The sequence below is a fragment of the Homo sapiens genome, chromosome 22 (assembly GCF_000001405.40).
Source record: "Homo sapiens chromosome 22, GRCh38.p14 Primary Assembly".
NCBI lineage: Eukaryota > Metazoa > Chordata > Mammalia > Primates > Hominidae > Homo > Homo sapiens.
The window spans coordinates 19,191,756-19,218,616 of NC_000022.11; the positions used below are offsets into that span (position 1 = coordinate 19,191,756).

Sequence of the window (26,861 nt, forward strand, 5' to 3'; positions counted from 1 at the left end):
CCACAGCAAAACCAAACAACAGAGTATGTTTCCATCCAAGCAAGATTACTCCAGCTTTCCTTGGAGGCCTCAGCCTGAGCCATAACCAAGTGGACAGCATGTCCTGTGACATCACCAGAGCTTTTGAGCTGAAACACTGTGGTGCTCAGACCCTGGGTGAGACCTGAAGGCCAGCCCATGCAGAGAGTGGACCACTCTGGGTGGACCCTGTGCCTGTGCTCCTGGGTCTCGAGATTTGGCCAGGCTGCTGTGTCTCTTAGCACTTTCCCCACTGGTCTGCCACCATTCTCTTGCTGGGCGATGTCATCTTTTTTTTTTTTTTTTTTTTGAGACGGAGTCTCACTCTGTCGCCCAGGCTGGAGTGCAGTGGTGCGATCTCTGCTCACTGCAAGCTCTGCCTCCTGGGTTCATGCCATTCTCCTGCCTCAGCCTCCTGAGTAGCTGGGACTACAGGCAGCTGCCACCATGCCCGGCTAATTTTTTGTATTTTTAGTAGAGCCGGGGTTTCACCGTGTTAGCCAGGATGGTCTCGATCTCCTGACCTCGTGATCTCCCCACCTCAGCCTCCCAAAGTGCTGGGATTACAGGCGTGAGCCACCGCGCCCAGCCCTGGCGATGTCATTTGGTGGCTTGCTGACTGTGGCATCGATGTCCAGGGCCTGGACACAGCTCTGTTCAGGGAGCATGCAAGCCAGATGGGCATGAACCAAGACAGTGGTGATGAATGTGTCTGCGTGAGTGTGGGGGTCCCGGGATGTGCACAGGGCACAGCTGGAGCTAAAGTCATGCTGGGATCCCAGGGTGATCACCACTGGAGCCTCCAGCACTGCTGGGTTTGGGTGACCTGGCAAAAATGTGGGGCCCGATGGGGTCTTCTGACTAAAAGGGGTCTAATGGTCCCACTATGGCTTACTGGCCACTTCAGGGTGTCTTCTTTCTCCTTCTCTTTTCCTTTTGTGCTAGAGCACTCACTGTCACCAGAGATTCTGACCCAGACAGGCAGCAGGGTCCCTAGTACCCGCCACCATGGATTCAGAGCAAAACGGTGAACTGGCCGCATCACAAAGCTTCACCTATGGCACTGGTGGGCCCCCAGACTCTGCCACAGGCCACTGTGGGTCCACTCCTATTGGAGCTCTAGCACCTGTCAGCCTTCTAGGCTGGCCCTTTACTCAGCAGCAGGGCCAGGACATGGGGGCCTCAACTAGACACTGAAGAAGCAGAGAGCAGTCAGGATGTGATGTGGGGCTGAAGAGAAGGGTAGGGACTCAAGTTCATCTTCTGTGGCGAATCACCTCCTCAAAGCCCCACCTGCTTCCCCACCAACCACAAGGCTCCTCAGGCCTCCCGTGAAGGAGAGGAACCATCCAAGGACAAGCCCATTTCAGAGACTCTTGCAGGTATCACGCGAGTGGACAGACTTGAAGTGGGGCACCAGCAGTCCTAGCTTCCCTTGTGGGACACCTGGTACCATGTGCACTCTTGGCCCTTTCAACAGGTCCATGCAGCATGGCCGGAATGCCGTTTAAGGTGGAGTATAACTGCCATGTTCCCACCCAGTTCCTCTGGTGTTGAGGCCTGCAGGGACACACATCTCTGTTGGGCTCAGCTGCTGGGATCTGGAGCCCTCTGCACTACAGGAGGAATGGAGCGGCGGGGCCCCTCTGGAGCGTCCTCCAGATCCAAGCTGAAAGACAGGATGGGGTGAGTCCACTAGCCACGCGCCAGGACATGGAGCACTGGCAGGCCCGTGCCCACTAGCATGGTCAGCAAGGACAGCCAGCACCCCAGAAGACATGGTAGTATCCCTGTTTTATACAAGGGAAAACTGAAGGCTGGGCGTGGTGGCTCACGCCTGTAATCCCAGCACTTTGGGAGGCCAAGGCAGGCGGATTGTGTCTGTAATTTATTCCTTCCGGTGGGTTCTTGGTCTCACTGACTTCAAGAATGAAGCCACAGACCCTCATGGTGAGTGTTACAGCTCTTAAAGATGTTGTGTCCAGAGTTTGTTCCTTCAGATGTTGAGAGGTGTGAGTTTCTTCCTTCTGGTGGGTTCGTGATCTGGCTGACTTCACAAATGAAGCTCCAGACCTTCGCAGTGAGTGTTACAGCTTTTAAACCTAGTGCAGACTCAATGAGTGAGCAGCAGCAAGACTGATTGTGAAAAGCAAAAGAACAAAGCTCCCACAACATGGAAAAAGACCCGAACAGGTTGCACTGCTGGCTCGCATGGCCAGCTTTTATTCCCTTATTTGGCCCCACCCACATCCTGCTGATTGGCCCATTTTACAGAGCGCTAATTGGTCCATTCTACAGAGTGCTGATTGGCCCATTTTACAGAGTGCTGATTGGTACGTTTTTTACAGAGTGCTGATTGGTGCATTTACAATCCTTTAGCTAGATGCAGAGTGCTGATTGGTGTACTTACAATCCTTTAGCTGGACACAAAATTTCTCCAAGTCCCCACCCGACCCAAGAAGTCCAGGTGGCGTCACCTCTCAAGATCACCTGAGGTCAGGAGTTTGAGAACAGCCTGCCCAACATGGTAAAACCCTGTATCTATTAAAAATACAAAAATGAGCCGGGCGTGGTGGCAGGCACCTGTAATCCCAGCTACTCTGGAGGCTGAGGCAGGAGAATCGCTCGAGGCTGGGAGGCGGAGGTTGCAGTGAGCCAAGATCGCGCCACTGCACTCCAGCCTGAGTGACAGAGTGAGACTCCGTTTCAAGAAAAATAATAATAAAACAAAAAAAGAAGAGAAAACTGAAGCTGAGATTCCGCCACAAGCTCCAGGATAGCTGGTTGGCGTGCTGTGCTGCACAACCTGAAAGAAGCGCCCACCGGATGCCAGGCACCTGCCATGGACCACTTGGTCGGGAGGAAACATGATGTCCATTGTATGGATGGGATAACGAGGTTCACAGCGGTGACACCCCTAGCCCACATGGAGAGAGACAGTGAATGGCTGAGCTGGGGTGCCCCCCGTGTGAGTTAGCAAGCTCCCCTGCTCAGGCTGCTGCTGGCCCAGCCCTATGGCTAAGTGGATTCCTGCTATCGTGTGCCCCAAATACAGATTGGATGTCGTCCATCTGATTGGACCCCTGCACTGGCGAGTATCCTCCTACCCCCTTCACACCTGAGCTGACAGTGTCTGTCTCCCACACGGCAGGGTGTAGTAGAAGCATCATGAATCACACAAGGAACTGGACTCAGCCATCAGCCCTGCAGGCACCAGATGAGAGATGCTGCTCTCCCACACAGTGAGTCTCAGCTGTCCTGCTATTATTTTATATGCCAGTAAGAAACAAAAGCATGGCCACTTCCACCACGGCTCAGCAATTTTTAAAAACACCCTAATATCAGAGGAGTTACAATGTGAATAAAATACACACAGGATTGATCAAGTATGGATTTTCCAGCACACAGACAAATCTACAAGGCAGCAGCCACGTGTGCCAGGCCACAGTAAGGTATGACCTGGCCGCACTCCCTCCAGCAACCTGCAGACTCTGCTCAGGGTGGGACGCCCCATCAAAGGCCCCCACTTTCACGTACCACCATGCCCAGTAACATGGATGTCCTCCAACAAGAAGCTCGGGCTTGTGGCCTGGTGCTCAATACTGGGTTCCTTCAAATAGTTCCCAGGAAAGGCAGAGGCTGAAGGCCTCACCTGGCAGCACACGTGCCACTCGCGCCCACCCTCAGTAGCCGCATGTGGAAAAGAGGTGCATGAGCGAGGCCACAGCTCACTGCTGTGCCACTCCAGTCACAAGCCGACTGTGACAAGTTAGTTACCCAAAGACCATGGCACAAAGCGCAGATACCCAATGCAAAGGGATGGGGGCTGAGGATAAAGAATTCCAGCCCCTTCACCAAACTCACATACAGAGCTGGAGAGGGGTGGGTCCTGAGGTTGAACTCTCTAAGAGACCGGAAACAAAATAACAAAGGCTCACTTGACCATGGCACCCAAACCCGACACCACCCAACAGTGTGGCTGCTGACAGAGAAACTCGGGTCCCGGTTTAGCCCAGTTAGGCTACAGGATGGAGGCCCACTCCCAGACAGGTAAGGCCGCTGGTGCTGGGGAGAGACATGAACTAAAAAAAAAAAAGGTCCGATGGTGAACAATAACCACAGGAAGTGGGGGTGGGAGCCCTGAGCTGACAGGGCAGAAGGAAGAACGAACTGAGGCCTGGCCACAAGGGCGTGGTATGGTGGGAGGGGCGGGCAGGCAGGGCCACAGGGCCACGGCTGCATGCTGGCCTGACCCTGCCCGCAGCTCAGCTGTGCATCGCTAGACGGGTCACCTGCCCTTCTTAAGTGTCAGTTCCCTTCAAAGATGGAATTACTACCATCTGCCCAGAGGGTGGTGGACTCATACAAGTGAACGCACACACAGCATGGGGGCATGCTGGTACTCATTCCACTCCCACCTGCCCATTCCCCTGCACCCAGAATAGGGCCTGGCAGAGGCTGGCAGGAGCCAGCGCTCTGTATCCCCTCTTACCTTGGTAATGATGTCCTTGAACTGACCCTCCTTCCAGGCCTCAGTGGGGTGGCTCATCATGGTGAGCACAGCATTGTCATACTCCTCGTACTTGTCATAGAGGAACACCAGCTCAGCCCACAGGTGTGCCTGCTCTGCAGCCCTCAGCACCTGGACAAGGAGGTCAGGGTCGGCTTGTGCTGCACGTGGCCACGGCTGCCAGACTGCAAGGAGTACACGGTACCTTTGGGATGTTGACACGGGACCAGAAAAGCTCCAGATGCTCCAGCATCTTCTGTGGCTTGAATTTGGAGTAGAGGATGGCCAGCTCAGTGAACATGCCCATGTGGGCCCGCTCCAGGCCCAGGGCCGCTTCCAACAGCAAGATCAGCTCCTCAAAGTAGCCACGATCCTAGCAGACCAACAGCCACGCGTGGGGCAGAGTGATTGCATGCCTCCTGCAGCCACCCTCCAGCCCATGCCCACGCCGCAGGGACTGTGCTTGTGACTGGGAATGATCCCGAGGAGGCATGTGTGAAGAAAACGTGTATACATACTGTGCTACAGATCATGCCATTTACTTAGCAACTTATTGGATCATCTGACAATTACCAGTGGCACACTGCACTACAATTTTCAAGTTTAGTAAGTGCAAATTAGTATTGCCAATTTTATTTAAAGAATTAGAAAAAAAAATAGGAAGTGGGTGGTAACAGGGTCTGGGAATGATTTGTTTTAATCCCTTGCTACAGCTCATTACTGAGATCCTGGCTCCAACAAACCTTCAACTCCACTCACGATGCCACGTGGCTGTTGTTTCACTGTGTCCCTAATTATGATGGCCAGCCCCTTGCATTCAGCCCCACACGCCTCTGACACTCTCCCTGGACAAGACCAGACGTCTGGTTACAGCCTGCTCAGCATGCAGAAAGCCTGGAGAAACACCCAGCCATGTGACCCTTTCCCTTTACTCTAACGACCACAGCCCTGGGAGGGTCCGACCTAGAGGACTGCCTCACACCTCTTGTTTTCCCAAGGAGGACACCCTTCTGTGCCCCCTCCACTCTCAGACTAACCTCATTTCCCAGTGGCACACTTGTCTGCTGGCAGCATCTGCACCCCCCAATCAGCTACAGACACGCCGCCTGTGCTCCTGTCTGGAACCTGCCCAGCCTGCAGCTCCATCCCACCTGCTTGCCTACCAAGGCCACAGCTCCGGTGACTCCTCATTTCTCTTCTGCCTTATTTTCACTCTCCACAGCTGGGTTCAGCAAGCATCCCGCTCATCCTCCTATCCTAAACACCCTCTTGACCCGATGTCCCTGCTAGCTACCTCCCATTTTTTCTACTTCCTTTTGCAGCAAAAACTCCTCACAACAACCATTCCCATTCCTCTCCCTGTTCTCTCCAGCCACCATCAGGCTGAGTCTCTCCCAAGCTCCAGGTCACAAGCAGCCCCCTGGCCCTGCCATCCTGCTGTCTGCTCAGCAGCAGGCCCTGTCCCTGCTGACCGGCCCCTCCTCTCCAGTGCATCCAGGAGCCAGCACACTCTCTGGGTTTTCTTCCCACTGTACTGGCTGCTCCTGCTCCCCTCCTCAGCCCACCCCTGTTGGGCAGTCTGGTCTTTTCACCTACACTCATCCCCAGGGGACTGCAGGCAAACATAGATGGATGTGGATCACCTATATGTCAGCAACTCCAGGTTCACTGCTCTAGCTAGGCCCCTCCTCTGTGGAGCTCCAGATCTGTCTCCAGCTGCCTACATGATGCCCCCACCTGAACATCCAGCGGGCAGCTCAAGACTTAGCACCATGTGTCCAAAAAGTAATTCTTGTCCTTCCCTCCCGTGCTGCACCTTCAGTCTTCCCCTCATCCACTGGTGATAACTCCGTTATTTCTACTTATTCAAGCCAAAACCAAATGGAGTTATCCTGGGCTTTTCTCTCTCACTCCACATCAGTGCATTAGCATATCAAGGTGGCTGCTCATTCAAAGCACACACCCAATCCTGATGGCCTGATCACCTCTCACCCTGTCACCACCACCCTAGTCAGAGTCACTGTCCCTTCTCGCCTAGACCACTGCAACAGCCTCCAGCTGCTCTTCTGGCTCCTGTCCCTACTCCTCAAGTATGTGTCTCAGCACATGAGCCACCATGATCCTTTTACCCCCGACAGCCCTGCACCCATCCCAAGTACAGCCCGTGACCTTCCTAACGGCCTGAGATCTGGCCCTCCGTCAGCCTCTCTGCCCCATCTCTGGCTCCAGCCCCTTCCTTGAATACACAGCACACTTCTGCCTCAGGACTTTGCCTGGCCACTGACCCTTCCCTCAAATGTTCCCATGACCAAATCCTTCCATTTCTTCAGGTCTTTGCTCAAATGTCACCCCCTCAATTGCTGCTACCTTGACCGCCCCTTTATGAAACTCCATCCAGGCACTCCTATGCCCTCAAACCGGCTCCATTTTCCTCTATAACTGATCACCTTCAAACACACTATATAATTATTCATTAGGTTTGTTGCTTGCCTGCCAACCTTGCTGAATGCCAGTTCAATTAAATAGAGGCTTTTCTGTTTTGTTCACTGACACAATTATTGAGAATAATGCCTAGCACACAGTAAGTACTCAAAGATTTGCTGACTAAATTGTTCTTTTGTCAGCCCTGTACTGCTTGATCACCCTCCCTGTTGGCTTTCCAGTTCATTTCTCAGGCGCCTCTCTGGGGGTGGGAAAGCATTTCTCATTGAAAAGCCATCACACCCAGCTAATATCTGGACACTCTGGCGCTGGTGCGAGCCCCTCCAGACAACGTCTCACATAGTGAGGGGTTTGGGGCTCAATTTCCATGGCCATGGTGACACTGCTGAGCAGAGTCAGATCCCATCTTCGTCTGCCTTGACTAACCATACCTGGAGTTGTCATGTGGCTCTAGGAATCCCACAGGTGGAAGCCCAGGTCCCTAAACACACAAATCACTGTCTACCAACCACTCAAGAGAGCCTACCTACAGCATGAACATACAGGGCCCCACCCTTCCAAAGGGTCCAGGTGGGGTTCCCTCTCTTGCCTGTGCTTTGTCCCTAAGGCACTTGAAAAACAGACTACTGGGGCTGCACACTGTGGGGAACTAGGCTATGGACTAGAGCTCTGCCACCACCAGCCCAGTATTCTCAGCAACCCTCCAAGGGTTGTTCCCGTCATGCAAGCCACTGACTGGGCTTCTGAAGGCCCAATAACACAAGAGGATGGAGAGAACTTAAAAAACACAAAATTCCAGCCAGCCATGAGGTCGAGGATAGCTAACAAGGCAATTGAATTTAGTTCATAAATGACTGTCTAACACATGAATCTTCCCCTCAGGGCCATGCTTCATATTTGCAGATGCAACACTGTGATGGTCACGAGCTAAGGGGATGACCGTGCCTCTCTGTGGAGTGTTTAGGCATCACTTGTCATCTGCATTACCAGCAGAGATCATCTGGTCACCTGGTAATAGCACATCAGCTCCTCCAGCTCATCTGCATGAATGACGATGTGAAGACCACACAGCTGTGCGAAGCGGAACTCTTGTCCATCCATGCAGGCAAAGCACACCTAGGGGACGGAGGGCAAGCGTGAGGGTCCCCAAGACAGGACACAGCACCACAGCAGCTGACTTACAAGGCACACAGTTGCAAATGCAGAAATACCAGCAGTGGGGTATTTTAAGTTGGATTCTGAACAAGTAGCTAACTCTATGATGAATTGTACAAGACTGGGAGAAAAAATATGACATTTGTAATCTGCAGGCCAAGGGGGTGCTTGAGACCATGGAAAGAATAAAGTTTGTGCATTACTTCGTAGGCCCTGAGTTTTGTTCAGGTGGCGGGAAAGTCATGCTGGAATTTCAGGTTTGGGGTTTGAAAAGGAAGGCTAAAAAATAATGACCATCAGAATGCATCTCATCTGAGTGTTGTTTTCACGGGGGAGCTTGTTTTAATAGTTTTTTAGACTACTTTTGTTTTCTGCACTGTACAGTATGTATACTTAATGATAACAAGCCTTGAGAAGTGCAGAATTCCCCTGTACAAAAATAATCACATAAGCCAGTGTCATTAACTTGAGATATAATCTTTGGCCCACTGTTTCCTATGTGTGATGCATACACCAGCACCCTGACAAATTTCCCACATAAACACAGTGGAATTACATCATACATTCTGCATGATGATATATTCCTCGCATAATATTGGCAACATCTTTTCCTGCAACTCTGCCTATTCATCTTAAACAGCAGGGTAGAGTTGTAATGCATACATTAACAAAGGCCTTGGCCGGGCGCAGTGGCTCATGCCTGTAATCCCAGCACTTTGGGAGGCTGAGGTGGGTGGATCATGAGGTCAGGAGATAGAGACCATCCTGGCTAACATGGTGAAACCCCGACTCTACTAAAAAATACAAAAAAATTAGCCGGGCGTGGTGGCGGGCGCCTGTAGTCCCAGCTACTGGGGGAGCTGAGGCAGGAGAATGGTGTGAACCCGGGAGGCAGAGCTTGCAGTGAGCCGAGATCGTGTCACTGTACTCCAGCCTGGGCGACAGAGCTAGACTCCATCTCAAAAACAAAAACAAAACAAACAAACAAACAAAAGGCCTTGACATTAGACCTTTAGGCTAATTTTAATCTTTCATTAAACAATGCTGTTTTGGATATTTCTTCAGTTTTTTCTACTTGAAGATGGATTCTGATATTATCAGAGAGCCTCCAGACAATTTACCAATTTGCCACAAAGGACCAATAATGTAAATTTACACTGATTATGCAAATAAGGTGACATGATTTAAAAGTGTTATGAAAATACTTATAATACTGGTAATTCCATGCTATTAAGGCTACCTCTGGGGGCCAACTGGTTCCACATCAGATTCTCTGGGGCCTCTGTTCCAACTACAAACACTAGCCTAGAGACTCTAAGAATCCCAAGGGTTCAGACCCCTGCCTGGGCAAGAGACCGGCACCCAGAAGAGTACCGAGCAGAACGCAAAGGACACGGAGAGCGTGCCTGTCCAGCACACTCTGCCGTCTGCAGTTGCCCGCAGCTCACCTCCTTCCACGTCCGGGTGCTGCTGGCCTTGCGGCTGTTGTCCACTGCTGCCTGATACTCACCGAGGTGAACCAAGGTGGAAGCCAGGCGGGCAAAGTTAGAAACATTGCTATAGAGCAGCTTGGCAGCCTCGTACATTCCCTCCTCGTAACAGCGGTCTCCAACCTACGGATAATAGGGTAGCTCGACTGAGACACTCTTCAATGGGAAGATTTCTCCAGAGTTGCTTTTAAGTTCCTAGATGGCAGAGGTATTTTTCTGTTTGCTAGGGTGGTAAGCATCTTTCTGATCGCACCAGTGACCAGATGAAGTTGGCCTTGGCTTTCTAGTCCCTGGACACCCTCCTCCACCTCAGGGGGCGCTTCTACCTGCCCGCTCCTATCTAACCCTGCGTTCTGGCACCTCTCAGGCCCTGGCTGTCACCTACCACATCTGCACCCCACTGGGCCTGGGCTGAGGAGGTGTGCTCCTTGCTGCTTCCAAGCCGTTCCCCTTCCTCCTCAATAAAAACCGTTCACAACCAATCTTGTGTCAGGTATCACTCACCAGCCCTAGTTCCTGATGCCATTTACAAATCTTTCTCATTCTCTGGCAATTTATTTGACTTCCTATGAGCTGGGGACCTTGTTCTTCTCACAAGAACAAGTCACTGCCATAGCCACACCTTACACCTCAGAAGAGAGATGCCAGCCCTGGGAACCTTCCACAAGTACCTACTCTGCCTAGCACTGCCCAGCTCGCCATCCTGAGCGCCTCAACTCCACCAGTCCAGTGACTGGACTGAATTCCTGCAGCCCTGTCCATGCCCAACTTGCACTTGCCCCAGCTGGTGGCCCCAGATCATGCTGGACAGCTCCTGGCATTCACTCTTGACTCTCCTGATTGTTCTCAGTCCTGCTCAGAGCTAGTTCTCTGCCCATTCCATACCTGTGGCTGCAGAGCTAAACACAGACAGCAGAACCCCAAAGTGCTGATGGGTCTCTCTAAATTCATGAAGGCTAACATCAAATGCACTGGCAACACTACCCATCCTACTTCCGCCATCCACAGCACCTCCCGCACCAACCCTCCTTCCGCCATCCACGGCACCTCCCGCACCACCCCTCCTTCCGCCATCCACGGCACCTCCCGCACCACCCCTCCTTTGCCATCCACGGTACCTCCCGCACCACCCCTCCTTCCGCCATCACGGCACCTCCCCCACCACCCCTCCTTCTGTCATCCATGGCACCTCCCCTCCTTCCATCATCCATGGCACCTCCCCTCCTTCCGTCATCCATGGCATCTACTGCACTACCCTACTTCCGTCATCCATGGCACCTCTTGTACCACCCCTACACGCCTGTCATCCATAGCACCTCTACTGCCACCCCTCCTTCCATCACCCATGGCATCTCTCATGTTAACTCTTTCATATCTCCTTCTCTTCTCAAAGCTCTAACGATTCCTCAAGCTGAGTATTTGGCTTCCCTTTTCCTGAGAAAACAAACTATCAGGAGAGCCTTTCACAGCACAGTGTCCGTGGAATGTCCTTCCTATGCCACCAAGGCCTGCTCCATGGATGTCCCTGACCCCCTCTCCACATGCTCCATGTCAGGGTTTCAGCAAATCCCTGCATCAGCATCCATCACCTTCTGCACTCATCCACTCTGACAAGCTTAAAGAACCACTGTTCTTTTCTCTAGTTTAAAACAAAACAAAACTGGCCAGGCACAGTGGCTCACACCTGTAATCCTAGCATTTTGAGAGGCTGAGGCAGGTGGATCACCTGAGGTCAGGAGTTTGAGACCAGCCTGGCCAATATGGTGAAACCCTGTCTCTACTACAAATAGAAAAATTAGCTGAGCGTGGTGGCGGGCGCCTGTAATCCCAGCTACTCAGGAGGCTGAGGCAGGAGAATGGCTTGAACCTGGGAGGCAGAGGTTGCAGTGAGCTGAGATCGCACCACTGCACTCTAGCTTGGGAGACAAGAGTGAAACTCCATCTCAAAAATAAATAAAATAAAACTAATCCAACTTGCTCTGCCCTCAACTTACCTGGGGGCTGTCAGCCTGTTTCCATGCTTCCCATCAGAGCACAGTTCTCAGGGAGTATCTGTGTGTCTGTAACAGTTGTCCCCTGTCTTCCTATTCTCTCTGCAATCCACTCCAATCAGGCTTCTGCCAGCCTCTCTGCCAGGGTCACTGCTCCTCCAGACAGACGCAGACATGGTTTTCTGGACACCCCTGCCTGCTTTTCTCCCACCCCGCTGGCCAGTCTCCATCTCCCCCTCTCCCTGCTGTGGGGCTTTGGGGTGCTCTGGCTTCTTTGGTCCATCCCCCCCCAGCCCCACACCCCCACTGCCATGCTCTCCCACACAGGTGGCGGCTGTGGGTGCTGCCTGTCCCTGGAGGCTGCCCATGCACATCTCTAGTCTGGGCTTCTCCTCTAAAACCTAACTCCTACTTCCAGCTGGACAGATCCACATGGCATCTACTAGAGGTCCGACTTGTCCGAATATTAGTCCTGATGCCCCCAGGCAGTCCTCACACACTGTCCCCACACTGGTAAGCATGACTGCCCACACCCCCAAGCTTGACCCGCCCTCACTGCTTCTCTCCTCACACCCCACTTGGCAGCACGCCCTGCCGGCTCTGCCTTCAACACACATCCAGAAGCTGACTATGCTTTGCACTTGCCTTGCCCACTTTATCTGCTGTCGCTGCCCCTTGCGACATCACTGCACCATCCTCCTCTATGCACTCCCTGCTCCACCCTTGTCCTTCACTCTGTTTGTAGCATAGCAGCCAGAGGGGTTCCGCTGACCCCTAGACCAGATCATTTTCCTCCTCTGCTCAAAATGTCCAGTCTCGCCCAGAGCAGAAGCCAGAGAAGCCAGAGTCCTGATGACGACCCCTGAAGTCCTGACCCGCAGAGGCCAACAGCTGCCTCTTCCTACTGCTCCCCAAGCCTCTCTCGCTGGATGGCTGTGCTCCAGCCAGGGGCTCCTGCACCCCACAATGCTCCTCACAGGATCCTTGCACTTGCCCCGCTGTCTTGTTCTAAGGGCTCCTTCCCAGAGGTGTACAGACTCAGCACTTACCCAGGGGCCCTTTCTAAAACCAGAATGTCCACTGTCACACCCACACCGTTCCAACGCTTCTTATCCCTGCCCCGCTTCACTTAGCTCCTTATATTCACCATTTAATAGATCACAGTATTTTTAAGAATCTTATGATTCACGGGGCAGAAATCTGATTACCATTTTCCCTGCTACATCCATAGCCCCTACTCTGGCACACAGCTAGCTGATGCTTAATAAAAGGTGATGAATGCATAAATGAAGTATTCTATCAAAGGGGTAAGCATGTAAGACTTGTTACTGCCAATTTACAGGAAACGCAGGGAAAATGAGTTAAATGACATTGTGGAGTTGCAGTCAGCAGATGCCAGACTGTGGGAAACATACACAAACCAGGCGATGGGCTGGGATCTGGCCCCCAGGCTGAAGGTTACTGGCCCCTATCTCAGGGGAGTGACAGCAGAAGGCAGAGAGCTTGCCAGGCCTGGGGCCACTATGAACATAGGTAAAGAGCCAGGTGTGCCTCTGCCCCACCCAGCCGGCCCTATGTGAGGGAGCTTCTGCTCTGGCCCACAGCGCCTCTGACTCAGGAGAACCCTGTTACTAACCCAGAGGGGGATTGGGGGCAAGGCTTTGTTTTCTATTATTTTAACTACTTTTTGGATTATAAGGGCAATTTCTAAAGTTACATGATCACTGATTAAAAAAAAAAAACTTTGCAAACACAGGCAAGTAAAAGAAAAGCAATATGATATTGCCAATTCCAAATCCCAGAGTTATTCACTGTCCTCATCAGTATTATACTCCATTGATGGATGTTGTTATTTAACTATTTCTTGGCCGGGCACAGTGGCTCACCCCTGTAATCCCAGCACTTTGGGAGGCTGAGGCGGGTGGATGGTTTGAGCACAGGAGTTCGAGACCAGCCTGGGCAACATGGTGAAACCCCGTCTCTACCAAAAATACAAAAATTAGCTGGGAGTGGTGGCGTGCACCTGTGGTCCCAGCTACTCGGGAGGCTGAGGTGGGAGGATGGCTTGAGCTCAGGAGGTCGAGGATGCAGTGAGCTGAGATCGTGCCACTGCACTGTAGCCTGGGTGACAGAGGAGACCCTGTTTCAAAACAAAACAAAAGCACTATTTCCTTTTGCCAGACATTGGCTTTTGATTTTTATTTGCATAATCATGCTGCAATGATTAAATATTTATAGGTAAAACTATGTGGATCTTTTCTACTTTCTTGGGATAGATTTTTACATCTAGACTTAGAGGTCCATGTTTAGAAATAATAAAACTCTATAGCTATATTTCAAATATTTATGTATTAGCTGAACTGATATTTTCCTTTATGCTTTCTTCCACTGCTTACATGTTTAAAAATTCCTTTCTCATGCAAAAATTCAAATACATATTTTTAAAAAATTTTAAGGAAAAGCTCAATTTTTACCTTTAATTCTTTCATCTGGAATTTTACTTGGTTACAGAATTACATGATGAACTTTTAACACCTTTCAAAACTTTAACTTAATTTCCAACCATTGTTTTTTTTTTTTTTGACACAGGCTTCTCACTCCGTCACCCAGGTTGGAGTGCAGTGGCACAATCACAGCTCATTACAGTCTTGACTTCCCAGCCTCCAGTGAGTCTCCCACCTCAGCCTCCCAAATAGCTGGGACTACAGGATGTGCCACAATGCCTGGTTAATTTTTGTATTTTTGGTAGAGATGGGGTTTCTCCATTTTGCCTGGGCTGGTCTTGAACTCCTGACCTCAAGTGATCCACCTGCCTTGGCCTCCCAAAGTGCTGAGATTACAGGCCCTTCACCCCCTTGTTTTCTTTTTGTTTGTTTGTTTTTTAAAGACAGGGTCTCGCTCTTTGCCTAGGCTGGAGTGCAGTGCCCCGATCACAGCTCACCCCGATCACAGCTCACTGCAGCCTTGACCTCCTGGGCTCAGGTGATCTTCCCACTTCAGCCTTCCAAGTAGCTGTGATTACAAGTGCATGCCACACACTCGGCTAATATTTTTTAGTTTTTTGATAGAGATGGGGGTCTCACTATGTTGTCCAGGCTGGTCTTGAACTCCTGGGCTCAAGTGATCTTTCCACCTCTATCTCCAGAGTTGGGATTAGAGGTGTGAGCCACCGTGCCCAGCCCCAACAACTACTTGGAACTTATTTTGAAATAAAAAGCTCAAAGTTCATTTTGTTATTTTTTTTCTTTTTCCTTTTTAGAGATGGGGGTCTCATTATGTTGCCCAGGCTGGTCTTGAACTCCTGTGCCCAAACGATTCTCGCACTTCGGCCTCCCAAAGTGCTGGGATTACAGGCATGAGCCACTGTGCCCGGCCCACTTTGTTGTTATTCATTTCAATAAATTGCATGCGTTCCTCCAAGAAGTGCACTTGTAACTAATATAGAGTTATAATACATTCCATTATCTCTTCATGTCTCTGCATCACATTTTCCAAGGGTAACATCTTATCTACATGGCGGACTCCACAATTATTTAGATCTTTTATTTATGGTTAAGGTTTATTTAAACATTTTGGCTTTATTCCTATTAAAAAAGGAATGTTTTCTTCCCCATTATGTTATCTGATTTTTGGTGACATAAACTACTAATTTTTTTTTTTTTTTTTTTTTTTTGAGACGGAGTCTCGCTCTGTCACCCAGGCTGGAGTGTAGTGGTGCTATCTCGGCTCACTGCAACCTCCATCTCCCGGATTCAAGCGATTCTCCTGCCTCAGCCTTCTGAGTAGCTGAGACTACAGGCGTGTGCCACCAGGCCTGGATAATTTTGTTATTTTTAGTAGAGACGGGGTTTTGCCATGTTGACCAGGTTGGTCGCAAATTCCTGACCTCAGGTGATCCACCCGCCTCATCCTCCCAAAGTGCTGGGATTACAGGCATGAGCCACCATGCCCAGCCTATTAATTTTCAATATATATTTTATGCATCCAGATTATTAACTCTGACTCAATTAATTTTGTTTTCTTGTAGTAAACAGAACGCCTGGATGTAAGTCTTCACATCTCTTCTAGGAGAATTATTCTGATGTGTATAGCCAAGAGCATGTCAAAATTCCATGGGTCTCAATTTCCATACCAATAATAGCAACAGGTTACTTACTTCCTCGTGTGGCTTGCTTCTCATGATCTTTATCTGCATCACACTAAAGCAGCGGTCCCCAACCCCCATGCCACGGACCGCTGCTGGTCTGTGGCCTGTTAGGAATCACGCCCCATAGCAGCAAGTGAGCAGCAGGCAAGCGAGTGAAGCTTCATCTGTATTTACAGCTGCTCCTCATTGCTTGCATTACTGCCTGAGCTCCGCCTCCTGTTAGATCAGCAGCAGCATTAGATTCTCACAGAGCACAAACCCTATTGTGAACAGCACACGCGAGGATCTGTGTTGCATGCTTCTTATGAAAACCTAATGCCTGCTGATCTGTCACTGTCTCCATCATCCCCAGATGGGACCATCTAGTTGCAGGAAAATAAACTCAGGGCTCCCACTGAGTCTACATTATGGTGAGTTGTAGAATTATTTCATTATATATTACAATATGATAACAGTAGAAATAAAGTGGACAATAAATGTAATGCACTTGAATCATCCCCAAACCACCCCCGACCTGTCTGTGGAAAAACTGTCTTCGATGAAACCAGTCCCTGGTGCCAAAACAGCTCGGGACTGCTGCTCTGAGGAACATCCCTGGACCTAAATCTGACTGGCAGTGCACAGCCCCCAGGGGGCATGGCCTACCTGCTGGATGTGGGCATTGTTGGGTCCATTAATAAAATCTTCTAGCTCAGAAACACGGCTGGTTTTAGCCAAGGCAAAAATAAGTTCAGTCTCTATATAGGACTCACGGCCCTTTTTCCTGGCCATCTGCAGAAATTTAACTAGATCCTCCCAGTTGTCTAAAGACAGAAAACAAAGATAGGTTAACCCAGAGCTGATAATTTTAAACAAGGGCTCAATTCCTCCCATTCTGTTCTCAGCCAGACACATTTACCCTCCAGTTATGTCTCACTGGGAACTCAGACTCCAGATAACGTCTAGGAGGTCTTGATTATGCTCACTAAGCAGATCCATAGCTCAGAAGGGAGGAGGGGAGGGGCAGAGCCACACTCAGGCCACCTCCCTTAGAAAAGACTTTGCCAGGAGACAGAATGCTTGTTCTGGACATCAGAGAGGTCGGTGCCACAATCAACTTGAAACACCAGAAGATCCCTGGGAATTGTGGGCCTGTCACTCACTTTAAAATTACTACAGTGGCGATATTGAGATATCTAGTGTGCTTAAATGACCTCATCTTGTAAAGGAGGGCAATAGTCAACTAAAGAGCTGGTGTCAATAACAGAATAATGTTTATCTCAGACTCTTGTGGGAAACTTTCATGTAGATGTGCCCTCTGATATCTCTGGATACATCATACGTAGAGATTTGTGAGAATCTCTTCAACTTCTTGCTTCAGCCAGGTTTTGCATCAGTGAGATGCAGAGCCCTAGGGAGAGGGGACTCACTTACTGCTCCTGCTGGCTGACTGAACAACTTCCAGGTAAGAGGAAGGGTCGTCCCCTCTGATATAGGAGTTGATGGCTTCCTTCACCAAATCTTTCTGGAGCTGGGCTTGGGCCAGCTGACTCCACACAGCAGGCTCATTGCATCTCTCCGCAAACTCATATGCCCGGTCCAGGTTTCCAATGTGCTCGATCAGGACCTAGGGGTTATGAGAGGACTTCCATTCTCTGCAACATCTAGTCAGCTCCAAAAAACAGACACATTTTTGTTTGGTTTCCTGTTCTGCCTAAAGCTGCATGACCATTTCACTTCAGTCAGAAGCAATCAGGTACTAAGCATTTCTCAGATGGACAGGTTGAGGGAAGAGACAAGAGCTATTATATGAGAAGGGGGATGCCGAACAAAGAAGAGACACTCCAATAAAGAGGCACAGAGATGGAGATAGCCAGGTTAAGCTTTCTGGGCCGGGGGTAGGACATGGGACTTGCTCCTGACCTTGGGAGGAAAGACAGTGCAACAGAGCATAGAAACTGTAAAAGAGTTCACAAGAATTGCTGTGGGGAATAAGATTGCTCACCAGGCAGAAACAGGCTTGCTGAGCAGTCTGGCAGATTGCGTGACAGTGAGGGCCACCCACTGTATAGTAGTGGAGGTGGTGGCAGTATCAGCTGCCCCCTAATATGATGAGCTGGTCTGTCTCAAAGCAAGGCCAGAGCCCATGAGGGGGCACAAAAGAAGGGCTCCTGGATTGGGGGTTTCACAGCAGGTATAGAAATAAGGTAAAGGAAGAGGCAAGGACATAAAGATAATTGGTAGGACAGCAGTTCAGGTGAGATGTCCTGTGGTTTACAACTGATTTGGAAATAAAACCAGAAGAGGCTCATAGACTGGAAAGAAAGGGATGCAGTTTAAAGAAGAAGAGTTCTTGAGGAGGCAGAGGGGCAGGCAGGGAGGGCTGGAGGGCCTGCTCTGGGAACCTGACCTTGGATCCTGAAAAGCTCCTGCTGAGGAGATGGGGGAATGGGGAGTATAGGGGGTGAGTAGCATGGTGCAGAGGGCTGGAATGGTTGTCATTGAGGGTAAGATGTGAGTGCCTCTGAAAATCAAACGTTTCTGTCACCTGGGCTGACCGATGACATTGGGTCAGGTACCCAAGTCCAAGGGAGTGCTGGGGAGTAATAGGGAAGGGGCAGACTAACAGCCAATGGAAGGAGCACCCACAGAGAAGGTCAAGACAAGGGGCCAGCGGGCTGGGAAGATGGGTTGCTGGTGAGGAACAGAGAAGAGCACGAAGAGATGCACTGGACAACCAGAGGGTCTGACACCCTTGGAGAGGACAAGGGCTTGCAGGGCGCACTCATGATGTGGCAGAAGGTGCTAGGTCCGACATGCTTACACTCAGCAGCCCACCTGGATTGCTGAGGCATTCATATCAAACTTGTGGAAAACGGTGAAGGCCTCCTCATACAGTGCGCTGCTGACAGCGATGCTCGCGATGTCCAGTGCGTCATAGTTGTCCAGGCGGCTGATGTACTCCATGACCCGTGTGCGGTCTGCCTTGATGGCAGTCAGGATCAACAGATTCTGTAGATTCCTGAGGAGAGAGGGTGGTCAGCACGGCATCCCAGGAACGAAGGCTGCACAAACCATTTTTTGGCAGGTCAGGCATCCCCAGACCCCCAGTTTTTTTAAAAAAGTAATTAATATACACACACATAACTGCTAAGTAAATACAACAGAGTATTTGTGAAGTATTTGGGATCTAAAAAGAAACAGTATAGCAAAGTCTTGGGAAAGCACAGGTAAGAGAATCAGAATGTGCCAATCAAACCACTGGGAGGGCTGCTGTGGCTTTTTAGAGCCCAGCCTCTGGATCCTGCTGTAGAGGTACCTATTTTCCTACCTGTGCTTTCTTTGTGATTCATTATAGCTTTATCACATCTACTGTATTTCTAAGCAATATAGGCAGCTTTGCATTTTTTTTTAACTTTTTAAAAATTTTGAGACGGGGTCTTGCTATGTTGCCCAGCTGGTCTCAAACTCCTGGCCTCAAGTGATCCTCCCACCTTGCCCCCACAAAGTGCTGGGATTACAGGTGTGAGCCACCACACCAGGTCACTTTGCATTTCTTGAACTTTCCTTTGCTTTAATTATAATAGATGCATTCTTGCAAAACTTTATACAATTCAAAAATGTGGAAAAAAAATCAGTGTAACACACCACATATCAATAATCTAAAAAAGAAATACTACATCTTTATCAAATGATCAGAAAAAGCATCTGACAAAATCTAACACCTATTAATGAGAAAAACTCTCAACTAGAAATAGAAGGAAACTTCCTCAATCTGAGAAAGTACATCTACAAAAAGCCCACTGTTAACATCATAAGTAACAGAGTCTGGACACTTTCCCCGAGGATCAGGAACAAGGCAGGGATGTCCACTCTCCACACTTCTATTTGTGCTGGAGGTTCTGGTTAAGGCATTTAGGCAACAAAAGAAACAAAAAGTTTCTTTTCTATAATGAATCGCAAAGAAAGCACAGGCAGCACTAGATTAGGAAGAAATAAAACTGTCCCCGGTGTCTCACGCCTGTAATCCCAGCACTTTGGGAGGCTGAGGCGGGTGGATCACAAGGTCAGGATATCAAGACCATCCTGGCTAACACGGTAAAGCCCGTCTCTACTAAAAATATAAAAAATTAGCTGGGCGTGGTGGCAGGCGCCTGTAGTCCCAGCTACTGGGGAGGCTGAAGCAGGAGAATGGCACGAACCCAGGAGGCAGAGGTTGCAGTGAGCTGAGATTGCGCCACTGCACTCCAGCCTGGGCGACAGAGCAAGATTGCATCTCAAAAAAAAAAAAAAAAACAAAAACAAAACTGTCCCAATTTGCAGCCAACATGATTGATTAAAAAAAACTGAAGAAATCTACAAAAAAAAAAAAATCCAATAAATGAGTTTAGCAAGGTTGTAGAATACAAGGTCAACATACAAAAATCAATTGTATTTCTATATACTGACAATGTTTTTCAATGAACAACTGTAAACAAAAAATCTATTTAAAATACTTCCAAAAATATGAAATAAGTATAAATCTAATAAAATCTACATATGACCTATATGCCAAAAACTATAAACTGCTGATGAAAGAAATCAAAGATCTAAATAAATGGAGAGACATATCACTTTCATAGAATCAACATAGTAAAGATATCAATTCTCCCTAAATTGGTCCATAGATTTCATGCAGTTCCAGTTCCAGCAGATTTTCTTGTACATATAGACAAGCTAATTCTGAAATTTATATAGATAGGCAAAGGAACTACAATAGCTAAAACAATTTTGAAAAAGAATAAAGTTGAGCCCAGGTATAGTGGCTGACACCTGTAATCCCAGCACTTTGGGAGGCCAAGGTGGGAGGAGTGCTTGAACCTCAGGGTTTGAGACTAGCCTGGGCAATATGGCAAGACCCTGTCTCTACCAAAAAAAAAAAAAAAAACAACTAGCCAGGCATGATGGTGCACACCTGCAGCTACTCAGAAGGCTGAGATGGGAGGACTGCTTCAGCCTAGGAGGTTGGGGCTGCAGTGAGCCGTGTTCATGCCACAGCACTCCAGCCTGGGTGACAGAGGGAGACCCTATTGAAAGAAAGAGAAAGAAAGAAAGAAAGAGAAAGAAAGAAAGAAAGGAAGGAAGGAAGGAAAGAAAGAGAAAGAAAGAAAGAGAAAGAAAAAAGAAAGAAAGAAAGAAAAGAAAGAAAGAAAGAACAAAGGTGGAAGAATTACACTATCTGGCCAATTGATTTTTGACAGAGATGCAAGAGCAATTCCATGGAGAAAGAGTATTTTTAACAAATAATGCTGGAATAAACTGGACATTCATATGCAAAAAGCTGAACCTCACCCTAAACTTCACACTTTATTGGATAATGAATCTAAATATAAAATGAAAAAGAATGAAACTTTTAGAAGGAAATAACAGAAAATCTCTGTGACCTGGGAGTATTAACAGAGTTCTTGTTTTAACACCAAAGCACAGTCCATAAAAGAAAAGTTTATGAATTGGACTTTATCAAAATTATAACTTTTGTTCTGTTAATGACACTATTAAGAAAATAAAAGAAAATCTACAGAATGAGAAAATATATGGAAATCACATATCCAACAAAGGACTTGTATCCAGAATATACAAAGAACTCTGAAAACTCAACAAAAAACCAAACAACCCAATTAAAACACAGGCAACAGATTTCAAGAGACACTTCACCAAAGAGGATCTACGGATGGTAACTGAGCACATAAAAAGTTGTTCATCATCATTAGCCACTAGGGCAATGCAAATTGAAACCACAATGGCACACTGCTATACATTTATGAGACTGGCTAAGATAAAAAAATACCAATATACCAAGTGCTGCTAAAGATGAAGAGTGACTGGAACTCTCACATATTGCTGGTGGGAATGCAAAATGACACAGCCATTCTGGAAAACAATAGTGAGGCGGTTTCTTAAACAGTACATATACCATGTGATTGGGTATGTTTAAACAAAAATCTGGACACAAATGTTCACAGCAGATGTATTCATAATAACCTCAAACTGAAAACCACCCAAACGTACTTTGATGGGTGAAGAGATCCTGTGGTACATTCGTACAACAGAATATCATTCAGTGACAAAAAAGAATGTAAGGCTGATGCGATGCACTCACCAAGTTGGATGAATCTCAAAGGCATCATCACGCTGGGTGAAAGAAGCCTGTCACAGAGGAGTCTATACCACGTGACTCCATTTGCATGACATTCTTGAAAATGCAAAACTAGTGTGGCGGGGTGGTAGCCAGGGTTGGGGGTTGAGGTTTGGGGGAATGTATAATATACACGGTAGCTAGCACAAGGGAATGTTAAAGGGTGATGGAATTGTTTGTATCCCGACTGTGGTGATTCTACAGATCTACACTTGTGTTAAAATTCCTAGCACTGCATTCCCCATCCCCTTCCAGAAGGTCATTTTTACTGTATGGTGGTTTTATAAAAAAGAATTTTAAAGTTGGGTGCTAAGGGTCATCCATGTACAGTGTTCATTTCTACTGCTATCTGGTATTCCACTGTATGACTGTACTACAGCCTACTTATTGATGGTTATCTGGATCGCTCTTAGAGCTTTGTCTTGAGTATCCCTGCACATCTCCTCATACAAATAAGCTGAGTTCCTTTAGGGCTCATAAGGAAGAGAGGAAATTGCTGGCTGTGTGCATCTTTTTTCACCAAACTGTTTCCAAATGTAACGCACATTCCCAGCAGGGGCACGTCAGAGGTCCAGCTGTTCAACATCCTCATCAGCACTGATTAGGAGAGTGGGGTTCCTGCTGCTCTGGCAGGAGTAACAAAGCATCGGATGATGCACTGTGGCCTCACTCTGTGCCTCCTTGGTGGCTGATGAGGCTGAATTCACAAGCTGCCCTTCCTCTCACCGGAGGGTGTGCTCAAGCTCTCTGCTTGGTTTCTCATTGGGTTGCTTGTGTTTGTCTTTTATTACAACTTTTCCCTACTAATTTTTTGTTGGTTGTGTTGCAAATATCTTCCCCGCATTTGTAGCTTCTCATTTGTCCATCTTCTTTACGATAAAGTGCTTAAGTTTAATACAGTCTTATTGGTTTTTCACTAAAGGTTTATTTATGGTTTCTGGTTTCTGTGACTGGCTTAAGAATTTATTAGGTCATAAGTATATTCTTCCAAGTATATACTCTAAAAATAATATATTTTGCTTTTTTTTTTTTTTTTGAGATGGAGTCTCGCTCTGTCACCCAGGCTAGAGTATAGTGGTGCCATCTCGGCTCACTGCAACCTCCACCTCCCAGACTCAAGCGATTCTCCCGCCTCAGCCTCCCGAGTAGCTGGGATTACAGGCACCTGCCATCATGCCTGGCTGAATTTTTATTTTTAGTAGAGACAGGGTTTCACCCATGCTGGCTAGGCTGGTCTCAAACTCCTGGCCTCCCAAAGTGCTGGGATTACAGGCGTGAGCCACTACGCCCAGCCAAGGCTATTTTTACCTACGCATAAAACTGTCTGGTGAAATCATCAATGAAAGAAGAGCACGAACTTGAGGTTACCTGCATGTTTGAGAAGCAAGTGTTTAAGAAGACAGCAGAGCTACAGCCACCTGTAAGTGCCTGGAAGTACACACAAACTAACAACTATCAAAGGAGGTTGATCAGACAGCAAGACAGAATATCGTAGCCACCTCAGGCACCTTAATCCTGGCATCCTGTCATTAGTCAGGGTTTATGATTCCATTAAATATAATTTCACATTCCATATGCCATTACCATATAGCATCTCCAAGTTTAAAAACACACACACAAATTCCTCTCTATAATACTACAGCCCTTGATAGCCTTTCTGGCCTACAAAATAAATCTCATAACTAAATCTTTACAGCTGCACTTATGATGTGAGTTGATTAAAATCTGACACAGAATCTCTGATGGTGAATTTTGAAGTGGAGAGGAACCCCAGGTGGCTGGCCCATGCGGAAGCACGCACTCTTACCTCTATGGTGCCTGCCCATGCAAAAGAAGCACGCGCTCCCACCTCTATAGTGCTGGTCCATGCCGAAACACACACTCCCACCTCTATACTGCCGGTCCGTGTGGAAGCGTGCACTCTCACCTCTATAGTGCCGGTCCATCGGAAGCACGCACTCGCACCTCTATAGTGCCGGGCCTGTGCTGCTGCCCCTGCCACAGCTCCTGCTCATCTGGCTTCTACATTATACTTCGGGCAAGTCTTCCCTGATACATGCCCAGATCTGGTTCTCCTGCCACCTTTCTCCAAGCTTTGTTCACCATGATTTGAAGAGTTCAACACATCCTTAGGCCACATGAGACCTTCATAAAATGCCAGCTCCCTTTCTCTGAGCATTGTGTTAAAGGACAGTGTGGGCCAGAGCAGTAAGAGGAGCGCAGGCTCCTAGAAAATGTGAAACTGAGGCTGGGCTCTGAGACAGGCAGGAGCTAATAAGGGAAGGGCTAGATTGAGGTAGAGGAGGTGGTAAGAAGATTGGCATGTCTGGGGAGCAGCCAATGGGCAGGCTGGATGGGTGAAGCGGTACGAGATTGTAACAGAAGATGAGTATCAAGCAGATGTTTTGAATCTGCCTGTGTCCACAGCTACCCCTGGCATAGCCTCACCTGTGCTCGCTGAAGACAGAGTTATCCAGAACTATCTTCTCCAGCAGTTCAATCAGTTCATTAGGCAGGTCGGCTGTCATAAAGGCTTTGACAGTGACCGAAATCTCTTCAGGATCCCGTGTTTCTGACAATGCTGTCTGTACCACCTGGTTTTAAAAAGCATTTGAAAGAACTTGATTAAAGTCAATTCAAGACTGTATCTTTGAAGCTAAACAGAAGGGAAGGACTCCTCCAAGATGGTCTGGAATAGACACAGAGAAAATGGGAGACTTCTTAATGTAACAAAGGAAGGGTTTTCAAAGTTAATTTCAGGAAATTCTGTTTGCTCTGTTTTGACAATTAGTTTTTCTCTCATATCAAATATGCTACAGACTCTTACTCAGCTCCAATGACCAGTGCACCAGGCATTTTGAAATGAATGTCTCCTTTTAGATTTGTCTCTTAAAGCCACTAATAGCAAATATGGCTCCACTTCTCTAATGAAGACACCGCAGGGGCTTCCAGCAGCCTCTTACTAGAAGAGAGCACTGCCACTGCTGTGGCACAGTCCACAGCCAGAGCTGTGGAGCCACGTGCCTTCACACCGGATGACACTCAGAACCACAATCTGAAGGAAAGACCAACAAAAGACTGGCTGTGCCACCCCTCCTCCAATTATAGGTGTCTCACATACAAAAACACTTACAAATAGGGTGGAAAGACAGTTTTCCAAAGAGTACATTTCCCATGCAACAGCAGTTTGGAACGCCAGCACTGTTCTCTTTGCACTTTGGACCAGGCACCTTCAGTGACTTCCAGAATCTAATATTTTTGCCAAGTTTCTGGTTCTCCTCAGGGGTGGGCAACAGCCGTGTATCAATGAGAGGGAAGAGACAGCTCTGGACGGTCTTTCATGGCTAACACAGCCCTCTGACCATGAACTTTCACCTAGCAATCTTGAGGGGCCTTAAAGGAACCTAGGGTCAAGGTCAGTCCAGTCCACCTTTCTGCTAGTCTTTGTGAACTCAATGGTACCATAAGATGCAAAAGTTCTACCTCTGTGGAATTTGTAGTAACTACAACAAGGAGGCTGAAGAGTTTGAGAACAGGAGCTCTCCCAGCAGCTAAGGAACCAAAAGGGTATGCCTGAGGGAAAGGGGCACCAGGACACAGCACAAGTCCATCCAAAGGAGAAGGTACACTTCCAACAGTGACATCTAACTGTCAATTCTTGAAAACCTTGGAGGCCGGCCGCGGTGGCTCATGCCTGTAATCCCAGCACTTTGGGAGGCCAAGACGGGCAGATCATGAGGTCAGGAGATCGAGACCATCCTGGCTAACACGGTGAAACCCCAGCTCTACTAAAAATACAAAAAAGTAGCCGGGCGTGGTGGCGGGCGCCTGTAGTCCCAGCTACTCGGGAGGCTGAGGCAGAAGAATGGCGGGAACCCGGAAGGCGGAGCTTGCAGTGAGCCGAGATCGCGCCACTGTACTCCAGCCTGAGTGACAAAGTAAGACTCTGTCTCAAAAAAAAAAAAAAAAAAAAAAAAGAGTTCGAGACCAGCCTGGCTAACATAGTGAAACCCCATCTCTACTAAAAATACAAAAATTAGCCAGGCGTGGCGGCAGGTGCCTGTAATCCCAGCTACTCAGGAGGCTGAGGCAGGAGAATCACTTGAACCTGGGAAGTGGAGGTTGCAGTGAGCCGAGATCACGCCATTGCACTCCAGCCTGGTGAAGAGCAAAACTCTGTCTCAAAAAGAGAAAAAAAAAAAAAAAGAAAGAAAGAAAACCTTGGAGCAACTTAAATAAATACACACAGGTTGTTTTAAGGGCAAAAATAAATTTCTACCATCTGTTTGAGTCAATACAGGATGCCCCACCTAAGGTTGCCTCAGGACACTGCTCTCAGTAAACTTTTCATAATGAGGTTCCACTCCAGACACTAAAAGCAGCCTCCCTCTGTTATTATGCGCTCTGGATTACAGGAGCATTGCAGTTGAATTTCGCACCAGGAGGTGGCTACAGATATCCAATTACAGCAGAGATAATGAAAGACCAGCAGCTCTACCCAGAAACAGGAAGACAAGAGGCCCCCGCTGGCTCCGGTATGGTGCAGTGTTAAAGTGGCCCTTCCCCAGTACCAACATGAAGTCACCTTCAAGGTGTACCAGGTGGCTGGACTATACCTGGAGAAATGTCTGATGTCTGGGAACCTGGATGTAGAACCCTAGTAGAATATTGTGTTGTTTAATATTTTTATTAGATTTGGATGGGTAAGTCCAAAGTTGAAACAGAGATTCAAAACAACATGACCTTCCATAAATCTCAAAGTATTTCAAAATAAAAAGTTTATTTAAAAAAGTAGTGGCACAGGCTTGAGGAAACAGTGGACAGAAAACGAGAGGATGAAATTCAGTAGAGATAAAGGTCAAATCCAGCCCTCAAGCCTTTCGAAAGCACTGGTCCAGCAGGTTGGCAATGTGTATGAGGGAGGTGGGAGTTTTAACTGGTCCTATTCTCAGGG

At 48.2% G+C, this 26,861-nt stretch overlaps 1 protein-coding gene and 1 long non-coding RNA gene across 22 annotated transcripts in view, besides 1 other annotated feature; one reads left to right on the top strand and one right to left on the bottom strand.

Annotated features, from left to right (window-relative positions):
• The window catches only part of CLTCL1 (clathrin heavy chain like 1), a 112,247-nt gene that overhangs the window by 12,283 nt on the left and 73,103 nt on the right, over positions 1–26,861 (bottom strand). For 16 of the 21 annotated variants that reach the window (XM_047441517.1, XM_047441515.1, XM_017028954.3 and 13 more), the window contains 8 exons: positions 24,356–24,501; positions 18,571–18,754; positions 17,167–17,359; positions 16,399–16,556; positions 9,574–9,738; positions 7,979–8,086; positions 4,734–4,901; positions 4,511–4,660 (listed from right to left, as the gene is read on the bottom strand). In XM_047441517.1, coding sequence (XP_047297473.1) covers positions 4,511–4,660; positions 4,734–4,901; positions 7,979–8,086; positions 9,574–9,738; positions 16,399–16,556; positions 17,167–17,359; positions 18,571–18,754; positions 24,356–24,501 — 1,272 coding nt within the window. Of the gene's footprint in view, positions 1–4,510; positions 4,661–4,733; positions 4,902–7,978; positions 8,087–9,573; positions 9,739–16,398; positions 16,557–17,162; positions 17,360–18,570; positions 18,755–24,355; positions 24,502–26,861 lie in introns of those variants that run through there. The other 5 variants (XM_017028955.3, XM_047441521.1, XM_047441522.1 and 2 more) reach the window with 5 other exon arrangements.
• LOC112268289 (uncharacterized) lies at positions 4,889–8,334 on the top strand. The gene is made up of 2 exons (XR_002958736.2): positions 4,889–5,134; positions 7,853–8,334. It is a non-coding gene; the product is annotated as an uncharacterized LOC112268289 (long non-coding RNA).
• Positions 25,963–26,700: an enhancer, noted in NCBI's record as "OCT4-NANOG-H3K27ac-H3K4me1 hESC enhancer chr22:19205227-19205964 (GRCh37/hg19 assembly coordinates)". NCBI's record gives its function as "activates a minimal SCP1, AML or CMV promoter by ChIP-STARR-seq in naive H9 embryonic stem cells {active_cell/tissue: H9 hESC(naive)}" and the evidence as "EXISTENCE:reporter gene assay evidence [ECO:0000049][PMID:30033119]".